Here is a 19,287-nt window from a genome sequence, read left to right as displayed (position 1 = left end):
TAAGAATGCAAAAGCTAGATTTAAAAGATGCAGTTAAAGAGAGGATCAGTGAACTGGAAAATAGGCCAGTAGACAAAATCCAGGCTGATGCATGAAAGTTAAAAAAGGATGGAAAATTCAAAAATAGCATAAGAGATATATAGGACATGGTGAAAGGACCTAACATACATTGTTGCCCCAGAAAGACAGGGGAAAGACGACGAGCAAAGTAAAGTTTGAAGTGGTAATAGCCAGTAGTTTTCCAAAACTGACAGAAGACGTTGTGACACATATTTAAGAATTCCTGTGAACCTCAAGCAGAATAAATACAAAGAGAAGCACACCTAGGCACACCATAGTTATGTCAAACTGCTGAAAACAAAACACGGAGAGAAAATCTTAAAAGTAGTCAGGGTTGAGGGGGAAGATGCAATAACTTCAAAAGACTTAGAGATGACTTTCCAATAGAAATTATGAAATTCTTAACACAGTGGCATAAATCCATAATATATGGAAAGAAGATAACTGCCAACTTAGAATTCTATACCCAGCAGAAATATTCTTCAGAAGTAATGAAATAATAACATTTTCAAACAAATGTTTGGGTCCCAGAAAAAGTTGAGATAATTCCTTGCCAGTAGGCTTACAATTTTTAAAAATTTTTAATGCAAAAGGAAAAAGACCTCATATGGAAACAGGATGAAGGGAAAGTATTTTTTTAAATATTAACTATTACTATGGCACTGGTTTTGAGAAATATATAAATAAACACTATATTGACTACACAAAACAATACTATCTGGTAACGATTTAAAAATATATGTAGAATTGAAATATACAAAAACAGTAACCCAAAGAATGTGTGTGTGTAGGCACATGAATGGAATTAGAGTCCTGAGGTTCTTGCCTTGTGTAGAAAGTAGTAAAAGTACATTTATGCACTGCACAATGTTTCAATCAATGACAGACTACATATACAATGGTGGTTCTATAAGATGATGATACTGTATTTTTACTGTACTTTTTCTGTTTAGAGATACACAAATGCTAATCATTGTGTTACAGTCACCTACAGTATTCAGTACAATACCATGCTGTACATGTTTGTAGCACAGGAGCAATAGGCTATACCAGATAGCCTAGGTGTGATCATGTATGCCACATAGATGGTAGCCTATACCACCTAGGTTTGTGTAAGTACATTCTATGATGTTCACACAGCAATGAAATCATCTAATAATGCATTTCTCAGAATGTATCCCTGTTGTTGATGCATGACTGTACTGATCTATATTAGACTGCAATAGAAGAAAGTATATCTAACAAGCTAATAAAATGGAATAATAAAAAATGCTTGATTAATTTGAAAGAAGGTAAGAAAGGAGAGAAAACCTAGAATAGGTTCAAATAAAAAAGGATTTAGGCTGGGTGCGGTGGCTCACGCCAGTAATCCCAACACTTTGGGAGGCCAAGGCAGGTGGATCATGAGGTCAGGAGTTCAAGACCAGCCTGGCCAATATGGTAAAACCCCATCTCTACTAAAAATACAAAAATTAGCCAGGTGTGGTGGCACACACCTGTAGTCGCAGCTACTCAGGAGGCTGAGGCAGAATTGCTTGAACCCAGGAGGTGGAGGTTGCAGTGAGCCAAGATCGCACGACTGCACTCCAGCCTGGGCGACAGAGTGAGACTGCATCTCAAAAAAAAAAAAAAAAAAAAAAAAAGATTTAAACCCAAATACCCAAATATATGGTAATTGCATTAAATGTAAATGGTATAAATGGACTAAATATTCAAATTAAAAACAAAGATTGTCAAGTGGATAAAAATTATTTTGTAGAAGAATATTAATAAGGATGCTTTTGGTTTAAGTAATAAAAATCCCATCTGTGACAGGCTTGAAACACTATAAGAGCTTTACTGTTCACTGGAGGCTCTTGGTGCCACCAGTGCTGTGACTTAGTTTCTCTGCTGTTCTTCTAGCTGAGAGGTCTCATTTTATTGACCTTGTCCTCCAGTTGACTTTTCTTAGGGGAACAGGATGGCTTCTACTAGCCCCCAGGGCTGCATGCATCCTCATTCACATGCAGGGGGGCAGAGTCATCAAACAGAACTGCCAGGAATCTGTCTAATTAAGCCAGCTTGCCTTACATGTCTCTCTCTGAGCCATTCACTGTGGCACTATATCTGGAGAGATGGGAACATGCTGATTGGTTCAGGCCTTCCACAGCCCACCCTGGGGTGGGATTAATAAGAACAACAATCATAGCAAACAGTTATGTAGTGCCTGCTGTATGCCAGTTTCTGTTCTAGGTACTTAATATATGGTACATTAACCCATTTTAACTTCATAAACTGTGGCACAAAGAAGCTAAGTCACTTGGCTTAGACAAGGTCACACAGTTAGTAAGTGGCAAAATCAAGATTCAAACCTAGTCTTCTGGCTCCAAAATCTATACTCTTATCTGTGATGCTATACTCTCTCTCAAGCTCCATAGCTAGATATAGGAAATATGGGATCCTACTAGGGAGGGAAAAGGAGGGCGTGAATCCTAGGTGTTACAGAATGAATATTACTGTCCCCCTCTCAAATTCATATGTTGAAACCCTAACACCCAGTGTGGCTGTGTTTGGAGATGAGGCCTCTAAGGAAGTAATTAAAGTTAAATGAGGTCATAAGGGTGGAGCCCTGATCAGATAGGACTAGTATGCTTTTAAGAAGAGACACCAGGCTGGGCAGTGGCTCACGCCTATATTCCCAACACTTTGGGAGGCCAAGGCAGAAGGATTGCTTGAGCCCAAGAGTTCAAAACCAGCCTGGGAAACATAGTGAGACCTCATCTCTAAAAAATAAAAAATTAGCCAAGTATGGTGGTACACATCTGTAGTCCTTCCTAGCTACTTGGGAGGCTGAAGTGGGAGGATTGTTTGAGTCCAGGAACTTGAGGCTGCAGTGTGCTATGATCGCACCACTGCACTCCAGCCTGGATGACAGCAGAGCAAGACCCTGTCTCAAAAAAAAAAAAAAAAAAGAGAGACATCAGAGAGCTCACTCTACTTTCTCCGTGCCCACACTGAGGAAAGGCCATGTGAGGACATAGTGAGAAGGCTGCTGTCTCCAAGCCAGGAAGAGAGCCCTTACCAGAAACCAAATTCACTGGCAACTTGATCTTGGACTTCTTGCCTCTGGAATTGTGAGAAAATACATTTCAGTTGTTTAAGCCACCTAGTCTATGGTATTTTGTTATAGCAGCCGGAACTGACTAGTACACTGGGGAAGCCATCAGCTGCAGCTGCCCTAAATCGCTTAATGATGTGGAGCAGTGTCTGGGTCAGCAGTGCCTTCCAAGTCTAATAGAGCTGGCCTTGCATCCTGACTGTCCCATTTCACAGCTGCATGACCTTGGGCAAGTCCCTTACTCTTCATCTGGAAATGGGTTTAGCAATACTGGCACGGAAAGAGCCTAGCACTGTACCTGGCACATAATGGGCACTCCATCAACTTTGGTATCATGGTATGTTACTAAATGAAAAAAGCAGAGTATCAGAAAGTATGAGCCGGGTGTGATGGCAAGCACCTGTTGTCCTGGCTACTCAGGAGGCTGAGGTGGAGGATCCCATGAGGCCAGGAGGTCAAGACAGCAGTGAACTATGATCACGCCAGTGTACCCTGGCCTAGGCAACAGAGTGAGACCCTGTCTCTAAAAGAAAAAGAAAGAAAAGAAAATACATGTATTTCCCTGCTTTTTGTCAAAAAATGTATATAGATGCATAGAAAATACTGCAGAGGTTTATGTCCTCATGTCTGTGATGGTGCTTTCTGGCTGCTAGCCTTATAGGTGATATCTATTTTCTAATTTGCCTAGGTACACCTTCTGATTTTTTCTACAATAAATATGTGTGATTTTGCTAGCAGTAAGAGAGTCTGAGGGAAAAGCTGGCCCCTGGCTGTGTTTATTTACACACACCATACACCTGCCCCCACATGTGTGACCCGCCCTGGGCTGCTCACTCTGGCCCTGGACCGGGCTGGAGCTATGGGCTGGCTCGGGTGTCTCCGCGGCGCCGTCCTGAGGTGAGCCTGCTCAGGTTTCACTGGCCCGAGTCCCCGTAAGTCTAGCTTAGCTTTAAAGGGGGAATTTATGGGATTCTTGCAGTCTGGGATAAGAGGTGGTGGGCGGCAGAAGCCCGGCGTGAGGCCGCGAGCGTCAGGCCTGCTGTTCTGGAGGCCCCTGCTGAGGTTACGGCCCCTCTGATGGCCATGAATGCCCCAAGGCGGCTCCAGGCAAGCAGCAGGTCTCAGCTAACCCGGTCCACCGGGCTGTCCACCTTCCTGCTGCTCCTCTTTCAGAAGCCCATCTCCCTGCTGGTCTCTGGGCTTCTGGATTTTGTGAGGAGGGAAAAGAGGGAGTGACGAGGCAGCCCAGAGAGCAGAAAGGGTTAGGAGATGAACGCTGCTCGGGCTCTGTCTCTGCTGTGTGTCCTGCGGTGAGCTGCTCACCCGCCCTGGACCTAGGAAGTGGGAAGCACTATGTCTCCTGCCTGTGATTCCTGGGGTGCCCCTCCTGCCAGGGCCTGACCTGTGGGAAGCCCAGCAGAGCACTCCTGGGGCACAGAGGGCAAAGCTAGGCTCAGAGAGGGGGCTGCCACGCCCATGCTCAGCCTCCTGGGGAAGGGCTGCTGGCATGACTCCGTTGGCCTAGGGCTGCTCTTCCATGGCGGCTGATGCCCACTGCCCAGGAAAATAGGTCTACCCCAGGGGCTGTTGACCATGTCTCTCTGCCTGTCCAGACAGCAGCAGAGGGGCCTTTATCAAAGTGCTGCCTGTGCCAGGCACCATGCCAGAGACTCCATGTACATTACCTCACTTAATCCTAAGAGCCAGCCATCCCCTGGAGCTGGGATTCTTATCCCCATTTTATAGATGAAGAAACTGAGGCTCAGAAGGGTGAGGTGACTGTCTAGGGTCAAATAGCTAGAAAGTTAATGGTGGAGCAGGACTTCAACCTAGGTGTGTGTGTGACAAAGCTTGTTCCACTCCCCTAAGTCACAGTGTCTGGCATATAGTAGGCACAAAAGTAAACTTGAGACAGGCCTCCCAGCCACCTACCCTCCCAGCATTTCTAAGCACTTGCTGTGGGCCTGACTGTGCTGGGAATGAGGGAATGAGAGGGCACATGCCTGGGGGGCCCAGGTGTCTAGAGAACGCACTCACTGTGTGACTAGGACAAGTCCCTTCTTCAATCCGGGCCCCTGTTTTCCCTTCAATATGTGAAGCAAGTTGGACAAAATCATGCTGAGGGCCACATTGACATTCAGCAGCTCTGGGGCTCCAAGATCCTTGTCCTGAAGGATTTCTCAGGCTCGTAGGGGAGGTAGGACTTTCATTGCACCGAAAGCATCTGTGTGGCAGTAGAGAGTACTATAGTGATGTTGTGAAGATTTAGAGAAAAACCATGGGAAGGATTTGGCACGTGCTGGATGTGCAGAAGGCGCACCTAAGTGGCAGCTATTCGCAGGGACTGCCGAGGCCGGGGAGCTCAGGCAGTGGAGGAAGCCAGGAGGGAAGGCAGGAGACCAAGCACCATTCCAGGAGGAGGTGTGCTTCTGCTGGGCTCTGAGGGCCCAGAGGGGTTTGGAAGGGTCAGGCCACCCTGATGGGATGCCGAGGATGTGTGCCTCAGAGCAGCGAAGCATCATGGATGTGTGAGGTCACACCAGGTGGACAGGGGAGTCTAGGTTGTAGTGGCCCCAGAGCCAGGCTGAAGGCACTTCCATTCATTGAATGCCCACCAGGAGCCAGGCCTGCGTTCAGTATTTGACAGTGATTTCACACCCTCAGCTCCACCCTGTAAAATCCTCCCCATTTTACAGATGCAGGAAAAAGTATGCTCATTTCAGATGTTGAATCCTGTCTCTCTCACTGCTGCATGAGATCGGGGGTTGGCGATTAACAGCCTAGGAGCCAGCAATCTGTTTTTCTAAATAAAGTTTTATTGGAACACAGTCCCACTCATTTGTGTGTGTGTGTGTGTATATATATATATGTATATATATACACACACACACACACACACATATATATATATTTTTTAATGGTACAAGGGCAGAGTTGAGTAGTTGTGGCAGGGACTATATACCCACAAAGCCTAAATCATTTACTTTTTTGCCCTTTACAGAAAAAGCTTGCTGACTAGATGGCTGAGTCAGGCAAGTCTAAGCCTTATACTTGCTGTGTGAGCTTGGGCAAATCACCTGCCCTCTCTGAGCCTGCCCAGTCAACTCCTGAGGGTTGTAATGAAGCTCACAGGTGATGGATGCAAAAATGTTTTGTAAACTGTAAAGTGCAGTGCCCTATCACCAGCCCAGTGCCTGATAGACAATAAAGTCTGCTTGTGGTTAAAACAAGAAGGCGGTCATGATGTAGGCCTGCCTGGACCCAGCTGCTGGATGCTTCTGGGACTGCAAGGAGGCAGCCTCTGGGTCTTAGATGCTGAATGCATCATTGCCCACTCTCACGCAGACTTGGCAGGGTTCAGCATAAATTAAAATTCTTGTGGGGAGTCACCTTATATGTGGTGCCACTTTATAGCCAAGTCATTATGGTAATTTGCAAAGCTCTCTGGTGTGTAACTAGAGCTGTTTGCTTCGGATTTGTTGGCTGTGACCTCGTTTAGGCTACGCCATCCTGCATGTACTGAACCCCAAGTCTTGAGGGTTTGTCCTTCTGAGTCTGGCCTTAGAGTCATCCAGACCTGCCCTTTCTGGGGACAACATGTTTCCCTTACAGGTCCCCATCTCCCTGCCCCAGGCTCAAGGAGAAATAAAAGAAATAATTATCATCACATTACTTTTTAAGCACTAACTGTGAGCTAGGCCTCATGCCAAATGCATTGTGTTCATATTCTCATTTGTCACCTCAACGTTGTGGGTTAGGTGTTAGCACCATTTTACAGATAAGAACATTGAGGCTTGATGAGAAAACCAAATGAAATTCTTACCTAGCTTAAAAAGTGCCAATCCAGGCCCTGCTATGGATTTGCTGTGTGGCTGGGGCAGGCCCTTTCCTTCTCTGAGCCTTAGCTTCTTATCTATTAATGAAATAGATGGTCAGCCAGTCCCAACTCTGACATTCTAGGATTTCTCACTAACTTGTAAAAGTAAACACAGGACTCCATCACCCTGTAAGTCTCCAAAGGAGCTTCATTTGCATGGGGAAAGCCAGGCCCAAGGTTGGCTCTTGGCCCCCTGTGGCACAGAGTGAGACATGGTTGCGGGTGCCAACCTCTTTCTAGGGCACCCCTGCTCCCCCGGCTTTTCCAGGGAAGGATCCATCCATCCATGCTCTCTGGAGATGGAGAGTGAACAGGAGTGGACCTCCTCCATCTGGGTCTTGTGAAGTCACTGGGGACAGGGAGGCAAGACAACAGACAGGAGGCAGTGCCTACATCTTTCCTGGCAGACATGGGACCGTGATGGGTAGCGATGAGAGTCCCCGCATCTTTCCAGTGACAGCAGCATTTCTGGGACACGTGTTTGCAGTGTTGGGTTTAACTTCCAGTCTCTGAGACAGCAGGTATCCCGGGGCAGAGTCTAGGCTTTGAAAGACCAACTTTGGGCCACGACTATGCCAGCAATTACTGTATGACCTTGGGTGACCACTTGCTGGCCCTGGTGCTCAGTGTCCCTCTGCAAAGTTGGGAGGTTGATGTTTCCACCCAGAGCGCTGTGAGGGTCCCAGCAGACAAGGGCTTGAATGAGCCTAGAGCACTAAGTGGCACCATACTATGACTTGAGTGGCGCCTTCCCCCTTCCCTCCCTCCCAAAGCTGGTTTGTTTATTTACTGCAGGAAAACCTTTTACTGTATCCAGAGGAGAAGAAGCTAACAGGCCTCAATAGTTTGTTGGGTAAAGACTATTTCTTCCTGTAGAAGTGATGGGTTTGATCTCCACTCAGTCCCTTCTTCCCTGTGTGACCTTGGCAAACTGCTTTGACCATTCTGAGCCTTTGTATCCTCATCTGTCGATGGAGCGGGCTTACCCTCCTGGCAGAATTATTGCAAAGATTAAAGCTTAGACATCATTATGATGGTTTTCCTTTTTACTTTCCCAGAGGCTCTCCAACATGACCCTCATTGGAGTCAAAGGTGGGGACACTTATTTAGGGGTCTCTGGTTATTCAGCAGTTGGCCAAGAGGCAGCAGGATGTGGGCTTTGAAGTCTGGGAGATCTAGGTTTGAACTGTGGCCCTGCTTCTTACAGACCCCCAAGCCTGCTCAAAGGCACAGAATCTCTCTCCAAACCTTGACTTTCTCATCTGGAAAATGGCTGTCCTGCCCCTGCCCCACAGGGATGGACCCTTGAAGGTCTTGATGAGTGAGGGCTTGGTAGGTGCTGGCTGTCCACCCTTTCTAGGGCCTGCCTTCCTTCACTGCACACAGCCTCCTAAGTGCAGGAGGGGAGGAGTAACCCAAGGCCCCAGAGGGGCCTGGTGAGTCCTGGAAGGAAGCTCTGAACGGCACCCCCGTTAGAGACCCTGGGAGAAAGACCCTGGTGAAACTGCTCCGTGTGATGATTAAGCTCTCTCTGCTCCAAATGCTATTAATGGTCATAAAATTATCCACAGTTTTCTGAGGCCCAGTCCCAGGGTTTGCCTCAATGGGACAATAAAATTGCATGCAGAAACGATTTGGAAAAGGCAAAGACGGCCAAGCAGAGACGGAGTTAAATGAGCGGCAGCCTGCTCTCATTAACTCGGGCCATTCACATTTGTTACCAGGGATTTCATTTTAATTAAAAAACAACCCAGTTATTAAAACATAAGCTTGCGAGGGGCTGGCCAGGCAGCAGCCAGGGCCAGTGGGAACAAGCGTTGCTCGCAGCAGGACGGGCCAGGACTGGGGCTGGGGCTGGGAAGGTAGCGTGGGAGCAGATGTTTGCCGAGTCCTCTCCACGGGCTCGCGTGTGGCTGGGAACGTGGAGGCTCCCATATGAGCACCTCACCTGCCCTGGGACCTTGTGAGCATTGCATGCTCATCCACAGACTGGAACGTGCTCGGCAAGCAAATGCCTGGTGCCTGTCCAGAGCTATGGCACATGGCTAGTTAGCACTGAGTGCCCGGCCTCAGCATGGGGATAATTGTGTGCCAAAGGAACTGCCTTGAGGGTGGGCTAGAATTAGGGTTGAGGGACAGGGATCCTCGGGGGTGGACTCTCTAAAAGGCTTCTTATTACATAGCGATTAAGACGTGGGGTTTGGGTCTGACAGATCTGATCCAGAAATCCAACTCAGAGGCTTCCTAGCTGTGTGTTCTTGGGTGAGTAATTGAACCTCCCCACGCCTCTGTTTTGTCCTCTGTAAAATGAGGATAGTGAGACTCAGGCCTCCCTTGGACAGCAGTGGGGATGCTCAAGTGCGACAGTGGTGTGTGTCCCCAGCCCTGGTCCTGCACAGGCTGCTCGGCAGATGCTGCGCTTGCTGATGTCCTTTTCCTCATGGTAAGGAGTCAATCATGTTCCAGGACCAGGTTTTTTTCACGTCTTAATGGTTTATCTTTCTCAGGGTTGGCCATACTTGGGCCTATCAATCATGTTTTATTGTATCTGCAAGGCACTTTGTAATTGTTGAAGTGCTGTTTAACAATAAGAACAATTTTCCTTCTTGGTGCATCCACTAGGTTTCAGCACCGTGCTAGAGACTTTGTGCCCCTGCTCTCAGAGGCTCACAGCATCACTGGGGAACGGGTGAGATCCCCTTACACAGGGGAAACAGGGTCTGGCCTGCGCAGGGATTTGTCTGAGTTATGGAATTGGTTTGGGGCAGAGTAGGGGCTCACATCGAGGTCTGTCAGCCCCCAAAATTCATGTCCTTTCCTCCCTAGCTTTGCTCTGTGAGTGACAGGACAGAAAGCATAAGAAAATGGAGTTTGGAGGTGTATATCCCTCATCCGTAGATGAGAAAACTGAGGCCCAGAGAGGGGAAGGAGCTTAGAACAAGCACGCCTGACTCTTGTTACACTTTATGTGGTTTTTCAGCACTTTCACATCAACTGCTTCAGCTAATCTTCCTAGAAACCCACTAGCAGGGCGAGGCAGGGCATGAGGCAGGCTGTGGAAGAATCAGGCAATAGCGAGGTATAATTGCACACTGTGTTTCTGTGGTGTAACACAATTTGGGAGACAATGTAGACTGAGCTTTTGTGTTAACTGTACCAGATGCTGTTTAGTGAGCACGTACTCCTTGACATTCACATGTCAGCACTGCTCCCTCCAGCCTGTGGGCAGCAGCGCAGCTGAGCAGCCACCTGCCCCAGCTGGTGTTCTCACACCTTGCCTCATGAGCACCGTGTGGTTAACGTGAGGATAATACACTGTACGTTCCAAGAGACTCGGAGTTTCTCTTGTTTACCAGTGTTTCCTGCACCTAGAACAGTGTTTGTACATAGGAGGTATCCAGTGTTCATGTAACAGTCATTTAACCACCGGAGACCTAGCATCCCCATCTGAGAATGGAGGATTTTATTATCGATCCTGCTGGTGGTTGTGGGAATTAGATGAGGTATCCTGGTACCTTGCATGCAGCAGGGATGCAGTGAGTGTTGGCTCTGGGTGCCCTGTCCCTTGCTGTACCCCAGGGACTGCCCTCTCCCCATACCCCTCTGCAGGCTGTTCCCACTCACTGTGTCCCTCTCTCCCTGTCTTTCTCTGCCTAGTGAATGGGAGCTACGGACACCGTACCCCGGGCTCAGAGAAGAGCCTGCTGGACCTGGACCTTGCTGAGGGCCCTGGCCCCACCTGCTGCCAGGGCCTGTTTCTCCCTGCAGGAAGCCCACCGCCCCGGGCTCACCCCCAAGCTTGTGAGAGGCTGCTGCATTTCCCCCACCCTGACAGGTAGGTGTGGGCAGCTGCTTTCTGTGGACACTCCCAGGAGGCCCCAGGACCATGGGCCTCAGGCCTCACCTCCTCTTTTTAGCTGGGGGGACACATGGGGAAATGGAGGCACGAGGGGCCCGTAGCTCAGAAGCAGCTACCTGGCCTAGATCCTGCACCTTCTGCTTTGCCTTCTGAGAGACACAAGATGGTTCTGTTGAGGTGTTTCCCTGCTGAACAAGCAGACGAAGCTTTTCACAGAGAATCAATCATTTCAGAAGAGGAAGATTCATGGGTAGGTTGGGGAAGGAAAGCCCAGCTCAGAGTTTATACAGTGTCAAACCCTGAACTGCTGATAGGGCAGAGAGGGATTCCTCCCACATACCATCTCTGCCCCAGGAGACCATGGCCCACAGAGCCCTGCTGGGTAGCTGTCCACTCAGTGCTTGCACACTTCCAGTGCCGGCCACCCTGTCTCATTAGGGTGTGCACTGGGCTGACGCCCGCCTCCTACAGCTTCTCCTGGGGTCTCAGTTGTGCCTTTGTCTTAGTCTATTTTCTGTTACATATTGACAGAATACCTGGCACTGGGTAATTTATAAAGAAAAGGAATTTATGTCTTACATTTTTGGAGGCTAAGTCCAATATTGAGGGTTTGCATCTGGTGAGGCCCTTCTTGCTGGCTGGACCTCTGCAGAGTCCCGAGGTGGCGCAGGGCATTACCTGGTGAGGGGGCTGAACACGCTAGCTCGGGTCTCTTTCGTCTTATAAAGGCACCAGTCCCACTCCCATGATCATCCATTAACCCGTGAACGGATTCATCCATACATGAGGCAGAGCCTTCATGACCCAACCCAGTCACCTTTTAAAGGCCCCACCTCTCAACACTGCCACATTTGGGATTAAGTTTCAGCATGAGTTTGGGAGGGAACAGATATTCAAACCATAGCAGCCTTGGTGCCCTCTGGTTTGCTGACAGCCAGGTCAGTCACAGACAGGCCTCTGTGCACACCAGCTCAGCCCCAGGCCCCTCACCCACTGCCTGGGGCTGCTGGCCTGAGGCCTGCTTCACAGACCAGAGATTCTAAACATTTGCCCAGTTGCCGGTTTGCAGTTTATTCCTTCACCAGCCATTTGTCAAGTGCCTGTCATGTGCCAGGCACTGTGGTCGGTGCTGGGAGCATCTTGGTGAAGGAAGCAAAGATCTCTCCTGATGGAGTTTACGTTCTCGTGAGAGCTCCACAGTGGATAAATTCCTAAATAGAAGGATGCTGTTCTTCCCAAGTGCAACCATTTTCCTTTGAGAATTTAGATTCCTTCTGGCTTCCTTTGATATTAGTAAAACTTCTGATTTTGGGTGTGTATTCGTTTGTTTAGGCTGCCATAGCAAATGCCATGGACTAGGTGGTTTAAACAACAGAATTGTGCTTTCTCACCATTCTGGAGGCTAGAAGTGCAGGACTGATGTGCCAGCAGGTTTGGTTTCTTCTGAGGCCTCTCTCCTTAGCTCGCAGATGACCGCCTTGTCGCTGAGTACTCACGTGGCCATCCCTCGGCCTGTGCCCTAATTCCTCCTTTTTTTTTTTTGAGACAGGGTCTGACTCTGTCACCCAGGCTGGAGTGCAGTGGCACAATGTTGGCTCGCTGCAGCCTCCACCTCCCAGGCTCAAGTGATCCTGCCACCTCAGCCACTCCAGCAGCTGAGACTACAGGCGTGTGCCACCACGCCTGGCTAATTTTTTATAGAGACGGGGTTTCACCATGTTGGCCGGGCTGGTCTTGAACTCCTGGGCTCAAGCAATTCACCTGCCTCAGCCTCCCAAAGTGCTGGGATTACAGGCGTGAGCCACCGTGCCCGGCCCTCATTTCTTATAAGAACACCTGTCCTATCAGAGTAGGCCCTCAACCTTATAACCTTGTTTAGCCTTAATTATTTATTTAAAGGCTCTGTCTCCAAACACAGTCAAACTGGATGTTAGGGCTTCAATGTATAAATTTTGGGGGGACACAAATCAGTCCATAGCAAGGAGCAAGCGTCTTATAGTTTTTGAGCCGTGCATTGTTTGGTGACAGTCAAATGCATTTATCTGCTGGATTCTTCTCTGGAGGCTCCCCAGTGGTACCCAATTTCCCTGGTGAAATTCATTCTATTATCTCTCAGGGTAGAAGCTGTGCTAACCTAGGAAAAGCTAAGGAAGAGGATTTTTTTTTCTTTTGCTAGAGATAGTCAGAAATATCATTTGTCATTTTGAATATCATTTTGACAATTTACGGCACAGGAGAGTCTGTGTGTAGAATTCTACGCCGGCATCAGTCTAAGTTGCTGTGCCCCCACACCCTCCCTATTAAAGTGGTTGAATTTGAGCTGACACTTTCAGACTCGCTCATTTTCCTAAAGAAAAACAGACCCCCAGCCCCTATGCCGCACCTGATCTGAATTCCGTGCCTTCCCCCAACCGCCCGACGGCCTTGTGTTTGGGGCCCCTTCTCTCCACTCTCGGCGCCTGCCCCTCCCAATCTCAGGACCTTGCAACTAGCGCCTGGGCTCCTGCGCCAGCTGCCTCCTTGCCTCCAGCCTAACTCTCTAATACTAATAAAAGCCTCGGTTTCCTGAGTGACTCCTTTGGGTGCACATTCTTGTATTCAGTCCTCATGGTCCCAGGAGGCCCAGATCCTACGGCTAATAAAAAACAATGGTGGTGTGCTTACTGTGCACTACACCCCAGGCCAAGCACTTTTTTTTTTTTTTTTTTCTGGGTCTCGCTGTGTCGCCCAGGCTGGAGTGCAATGGCGCCATCTCGGCTCACTGCAAGCTCCGCCTCCCGGGTTCACGCCATTCTCCTGCCTCAGGCTCCCGAGTAGCTGGGACTACAGGCGCCCGCCACCACACCCGGCTAATTTTTTGTAGTGTTTTTTTTTTTTTTTTTTTTTTTTTTTTTTTTTTTAGTAGAGACAGGGTTTCACCAGGCCAAGCACTTTTTATGCATTAATGCTCTCAACCCCCAACTGCCGTTGAGTGGGGAAACTGAGGCTAGAGAGGCTACATAACTAGTTCTGTTCACCAGAACTCTACCTACCCCTCAGCAGAATGTAAATGTTCTCTCAGGGGACTGGTCCACAGACTCCCCTATTGGAAGGGGAGCTGCCCAAGGTCAGGGACCTGGTCTTCCCACTTCTTCAGCATCACCCAGCACAGAGTGAAAAGCATGTTGAGTGAAATCACTGACTTTCCATTCAGACTGCAGTTCCTGAGCCCTCAGAGACATGCGATCTGAGATCCCTGCCTCTCCCCTGAGTCTCTGCTGGAGAAACACTGATTATCCCCATCTCAGCAGCTCCCTTCCAGGGAGCCCTGTCCCTTCCCCTCCCCTCCTGTACCTCATGACTGGAGCTCGGGCTGCTCCAGTTGCAGGGAGCCAGAGATGGAGGGGCTGGAGCTGCAAGGCCATCTTGGGAAACTGAGGGACAGGTGATGACCCCACAGCTCTGGCTGCAGAGAGCCCCAAGACAGTGGTGGTGAATGGCGATAAGAGCTCCCCTCACCCTGCCATCCCCTTCGCAGAGGGCTGTCACGGGGCCATCTCACTCGATCTGGCAGCCATCCTCTGAGGTAGAGAGACTTAGCCCTCATTTTACAGGCAAGGAAACTGAGGTTCAGATGGGATGAGGTGGCGTGGGGTGTCCTAGCCAGACTTCAGGCATAGCACCAGGCTCCCTGTTCTGCCTAGCCAGCCAGGGGGGTGTCCTAACTCTCAGCCCTGCCTCACTTTCCTGACCTTTCCCCTTTTCAGAGTGCTCTGGTGACAGGTAGGCCCTTCCGTCTCTCTCTGCACCTTACCTGGTCCCCCCACTCAGAATGGTGGAAGCTTCAGTGCAGGAATCCCCTTGTGTTATTTAAGCCTGGCCTCCTGCGCAGTGGTGGAGGGAATGTTCCACATGTGGGAGAGGCCCTCTGGGCACCTGTGTACCACCTATGTGGTGAAGACAGCCACCTGGCAAACCCCAGCTGTGCCCACATACACCACCCTCGCTCTCATGGGGAGGATCCTCCTGATGTCCCAGAGGAGGAGAGAGACCCAGGATGGCAAAGGACCTTGCCCACGTTTGCACGGCTGGATGTGGCTGAGCCTGATCTCAAACCCACGTGCTCCCATGGGCTGCCCTGCCTGGCCTGCCCCATGGCTTTTCCCCAAAATCGCAGTTTCATGCAGTCACATTGTGAGGGCCTGAAACCCTGGGACCCCTCAGAAGCTTTTCCTCAGTTCCTCCTGAGACACCCCCACCAGGACTGCACTTCAGACTCCCCCATGCACTGACATTAACAGTGGAAAGGCCAGGCTGCTTGGGGCGAAGTGTCATACAATTAGCATTTGTAGAAGTTAAGCTAGATTACAAAAATTAAGAAAGATTTAAAGGACATGTAAGTGGAATTTAATATACCCTGGACCTGGGTGTTCCTCAAAATGCCAGCCTCAGCCTTCTTCCTGGAGAACTCACTAGAAGGCCACGGAGAGGGAGCAGGGCAGCCCCCTGGGAAGCAGGATGGCGTGGCATCCAGGGCTGGGTGGGGGTGCTGAGCTTTGGTAAAACGATGCAAGGTCCTCCTTCCTGGTGTTCTCACCACATTCACCCTGGAGTGCATGTTATGACCTTGGCTCCCTGCAGCCTCAACCTCCTGGGCTCAAGCAATCCTCCTACCTCAGCCTCCCGAGTAGCTGGGACTACAGGTGCACACCACCACACCTGGCTAATTTGTAAATTTTTTTGTAGAGATGGAGTCTCACTATGTAGCCCAAGCTGGTCGTGAACACTCCTGGACTCAAGCAGTCCTCTTGCCTTGCCTTCCCAAAGTGCTGGGATTATAGGCATGAGCCATTGTGCCTGGCCTCCTGCCTCTTCTTTCCCTCCCCAGCCCTTCTCTTCCTCTCTCTCCCCATTTTCCTTTACACTCTGCTTGTTTTCCAGACAACCAGTCTGTAGGTGCTCTTTCTCTGCCTCTAGCCCTCAGCCTCTGCCTCCTGCCCTGGGCTTGTCCATCCCTTGATCCTCAGCTTCCCTGTCTGCCCCCACCTGAGCCTTCCCTCTGTGGCGAGCCCAGCCTCTCATGACCTCTCTGGGCACTGTCTTCCAGGTCACCTAGACCCCAGGCCACGTATGTGAACGGCAGCCTCCCAACCACACAACACATCAAACAGGAGTCCTTGCCCGACTACCAAGCCATGGCAGAGGCCCGCACATCCCTGTCTGCCCACTGTCGGGGCCCGCTGGCCACTGGCCTGCACCCAGACCTGGACCTCCCGGGCCGAAGCCTCGCCACCCCTGCGCCTTCCTGCTACCTTCTGGGCAGCGAACCCAGCTCTGGCCTGGGCCTCCAGCCCGAGACCCACCTCCCCGAGGGCAGCCTGAAGCGGTGCTGCGTCTTGGGCCTACCCCCCACCTCCCCAGCCTCCTCCTCACCCTGTGCCTCCTCCGACGTCACCTCCATCATCCGCTCCTCCCAGACGTCTCTGGTCACCTGTGTAAATGGACTCCGGAGCCCCCCTCTGACGGGAGATCTGGGGGGCCCTTCCAAGCGGGCCCGGCCTGGCCCTGCATCGACGGACAGCCATGAGGGCAGCTTGCAACTTGAAGCCTGCCGGAAGGCGAGCTTCCTGAAGCAGGAACCCGCGGATGAGTTTTCAGAGCTCTTTGGGCCTCACCAGCAGGGCCTGCCGCCCCCCTATCCCCTGTCTCAGTTGCCGCCTGGCCCAAGCCTTGGAGGCCTGGGGCTGGGCCTGGCAGGCAGGGTGGTGGCCGGGCGGCAGGCGTGCCGCTGGGTGGACTGCTGTGCAGCCTATGAGCAGCAGGAGGAGCTGGTGCGGCACATCGAGAAGAGCCACATCGACCAGCGCAAGGGCGAGGACTTCACCTGCTTCTGGGCTGGCTGCGTGCGCCGCTACAAGCCCTTCAACGCCCGCTACAAGCTGCTCATCCACATGCGAGTGCACTCGGGCGAGAAGCCCAACAAGTGCATGGTGAGTTCCCACCGGCCGCCAGGCCTCACCCCAGCCCCTCTGGCAGAGCAGCACTCACCCCAGTGCCCCAGGAGAGGCCGCCTGGGACTCCGTCCTCTGGGCTGGCTGAGATCCCTGTGGTTGAGGAGGAAAGGACCCATGCTGTGGATGTGGCCCCTGGTCAAGACGGTCAGTGCCCCTGTCACTGGGAACCGTGGCAGAGGGGCCCTCATACTCACTAGGTGCCCAGTCCCCCACCCTGAGGCATTAGATATATCTTAGCACGCCACAGGGCCCGGGGCTGTGTGCACATGCGATTGGAAAAACAGGCGTGGCCAGCCTCTTCTTTCATGTGTTTGTGCTCCATGTCCCATCTGCTGGTGGCCAAATGAGATGTGGAGAACATACTCTCCTCCAGCGCTGGGCCCTCACCACCACCCATCCCAGTGAGGTTCCCTGGGCCTTCTAGTGCTGCCTACAGCCTTGGCTTCCACCAAGGAACAGTGGGGCCTAACAGGCACCCGGCTCGAGAGCTGCAGGTCCCCAGGGCAGGGTTTGGGCTGGGGCCCAGGGTTACTAGCTAAGGCCCTGGGTAGTACCAGTAGCGTTCTTCCTGGAGTTGAGACAGGTTTCTGGCACTAGCATTATGTGTACATGCGCACGTGCACACACACATGCATGCACGCGTGCACACACACGCGCATATTAACTGTGAGTACTCAGGCCTCCAGCCCTTGTGATGGATCATTTCTGTGACAGGTCATTTCTGCCCCGTCTGTGGGGAATACTGTATCAGAGGCTAGGAGCACTCCCTGATACACTCAGCCTAACTGCTGTGCTACCTCCGAGGCACAGCCAGCCCACTAGGAGAGGTGCCTGCCCAGAAACGGCAGAGCTGGACCTCAGGGTGTGCTTGGTGTTGAGAAGCATGGGCCACCAGGGCCACTGCCCAGCCCGCCCAGCCATCAGGACAGCAGCATGGCTGGTGTGCTGGGGCTGGTGCCATAGCTAAAGTCAAGCTGTTTCACACTTGGACTTGTGCAAGTGTCAAACACTGTCATTGGACACCCACTCATGGAGCACTTGGTCTGGGAAGGGGCATAGTGTCCCCATTCAGAGCCCAGGGTGACATTGTAGGGGCCAGGAAGGAGGCAGGACACATTGGCAATCAGCAGCATAAACTCCGTCCTCCTGGGGCAAGGTGCTTGCCCTTGGGCCCCACCTACCTGTGGAGCTGGGAGCTGGGCGTCGGACAGGATCTGCTTCTGCAGCTTCAGGAGGCTGGGTCTTGAAGGAGGAGAAAGAGTTTGCTTTGTAAACAAGTGAGCAGCAGTGAATGGCCTGTGCCAAGGGGAGGCAGGAGGAGGGAGCTTGTGGTTAGCATTCTGGTGTGTGGAGCAGTGGTGGGGAGAGTGCATTGGACAGGCTGAGACTTTGACTTTATCTTGTGCCTTTGGGCTGAGAGGATGCTGGAAGGAGGCCTGGTGGCTGGGCCAGCCCCTGGCGATGCTCTGGCTTGTTTGGGGTCCTGTGACACATGCCCCTGCCTAGGAGTTGACCAATAGACAGCGCGCAGGCCAGGCCAGGGCTGCTGGGAGACAGCTGGGCCCCCATATCTCCCCGAGACCCTGGAGCTGACAGCTGCTGAGCCACAGTTCTCCTTCACATATTCTCTTTTATGGGTGAGTCTGTGGGTGCCTGTGGGGGCCGAGGTGGAGGCTCTGTGACCCGAAGGAACCTTGACAAGACTCCACAGGACACTGGCTTACACCTGGCTTCTGCCTGTGGTTAGTGGTCTTCTCACAGTGGGGCCTCTGTGTGGAATCACGGCATCCAGAAGAGTATCTGTGTTGGAAATTTGGGAAGTCAGAGAGGATCTAGCCCTTCCCCGCCCACTTTCTAGCTTGGGAAACAGGGCCCAGCGAGGGGTCAGAGGGGCCTGGGTTACTCAGTGCAGACTCAGGGTCTCTCTCTCTGCGGCCAGGCTGCCAGGATCTCACTTGATTCCACAGACTTCACAGGACACTGGCTTACACTGGCTGAGGCCTGGTTCTGGGGACCCAGACCTGGACCTCCCATGGCCCTTGCCCTGGGGACACTCATGCTCAGAGATGGGTGGGAGATGAGTGGCAGGTCCTGGGATGGAGTTTGCATAGTCCCAGGGAGGGAAGGCCCAGAAGGGCTTCATGGAGGAGGTGATATCAAGCTGTGTCTACACTCACCTATCAGTATTGTTTAATCCTTACAAGTCCTGTAAAACCAAGGGTTTTTACAAATGAAGAAACAAAGGTTGGGTGGGGTCTGGCTGGCCTTCCACTTGCTCCCATGAGAACACTTGGTCTTGCCTCTTCCAGGGTTTAGGATTGTGGTGATGATAATACCAGCAAGCAGCTTCCAAGTACAGACTGTGTGCAGGTGCTATTCTAAGTGACAACTCCACCTGGTC

General features: G+C 51.3%; 1 protein-coding gene across 11 annotated transcripts in view; it reads left to right on the top strand.

The window, feature by feature from the left end:
* GLIS1 (GLIS family zinc finger 1) overlaps positions 1–19,287 on the top strand; it is a 232,926-nt gene that overhangs the window by 128,195 nt on the left and 85,444 nt on the right. For all 11 annotated transcript variants that reach the window (XM_017000409.2, XM_017000411.2, NM_001390838.1 and 8 more), the window contains 2 exons: positions 10,692–10,869; positions 15,980–16,862. In XM_017000409.2, coding sequence (XP_016855898.1) covers positions 10,692–10,869; positions 15,980–16,862 — 1,061 coding nt within the window. The remainder of the gene's footprint in view (positions 1–10,691; positions 10,870–15,979; positions 16,863–19,287) is intronic.

This window comes from Homo sapiens, chromosome 1 (assembly GCF_000001405.40).
Source record: "Homo sapiens chromosome 1, GRCh38.p14 Primary Assembly".
NCBI lineage: Eukaryota > Metazoa > Chordata > Mammalia > Primates > Hominidae > Homo > Homo sapiens.
The sequence above is the reverse complement of the archived record's forward strand: the minus strand, read 5'-3'. Positions and strand labels throughout refer to the sequence as shown.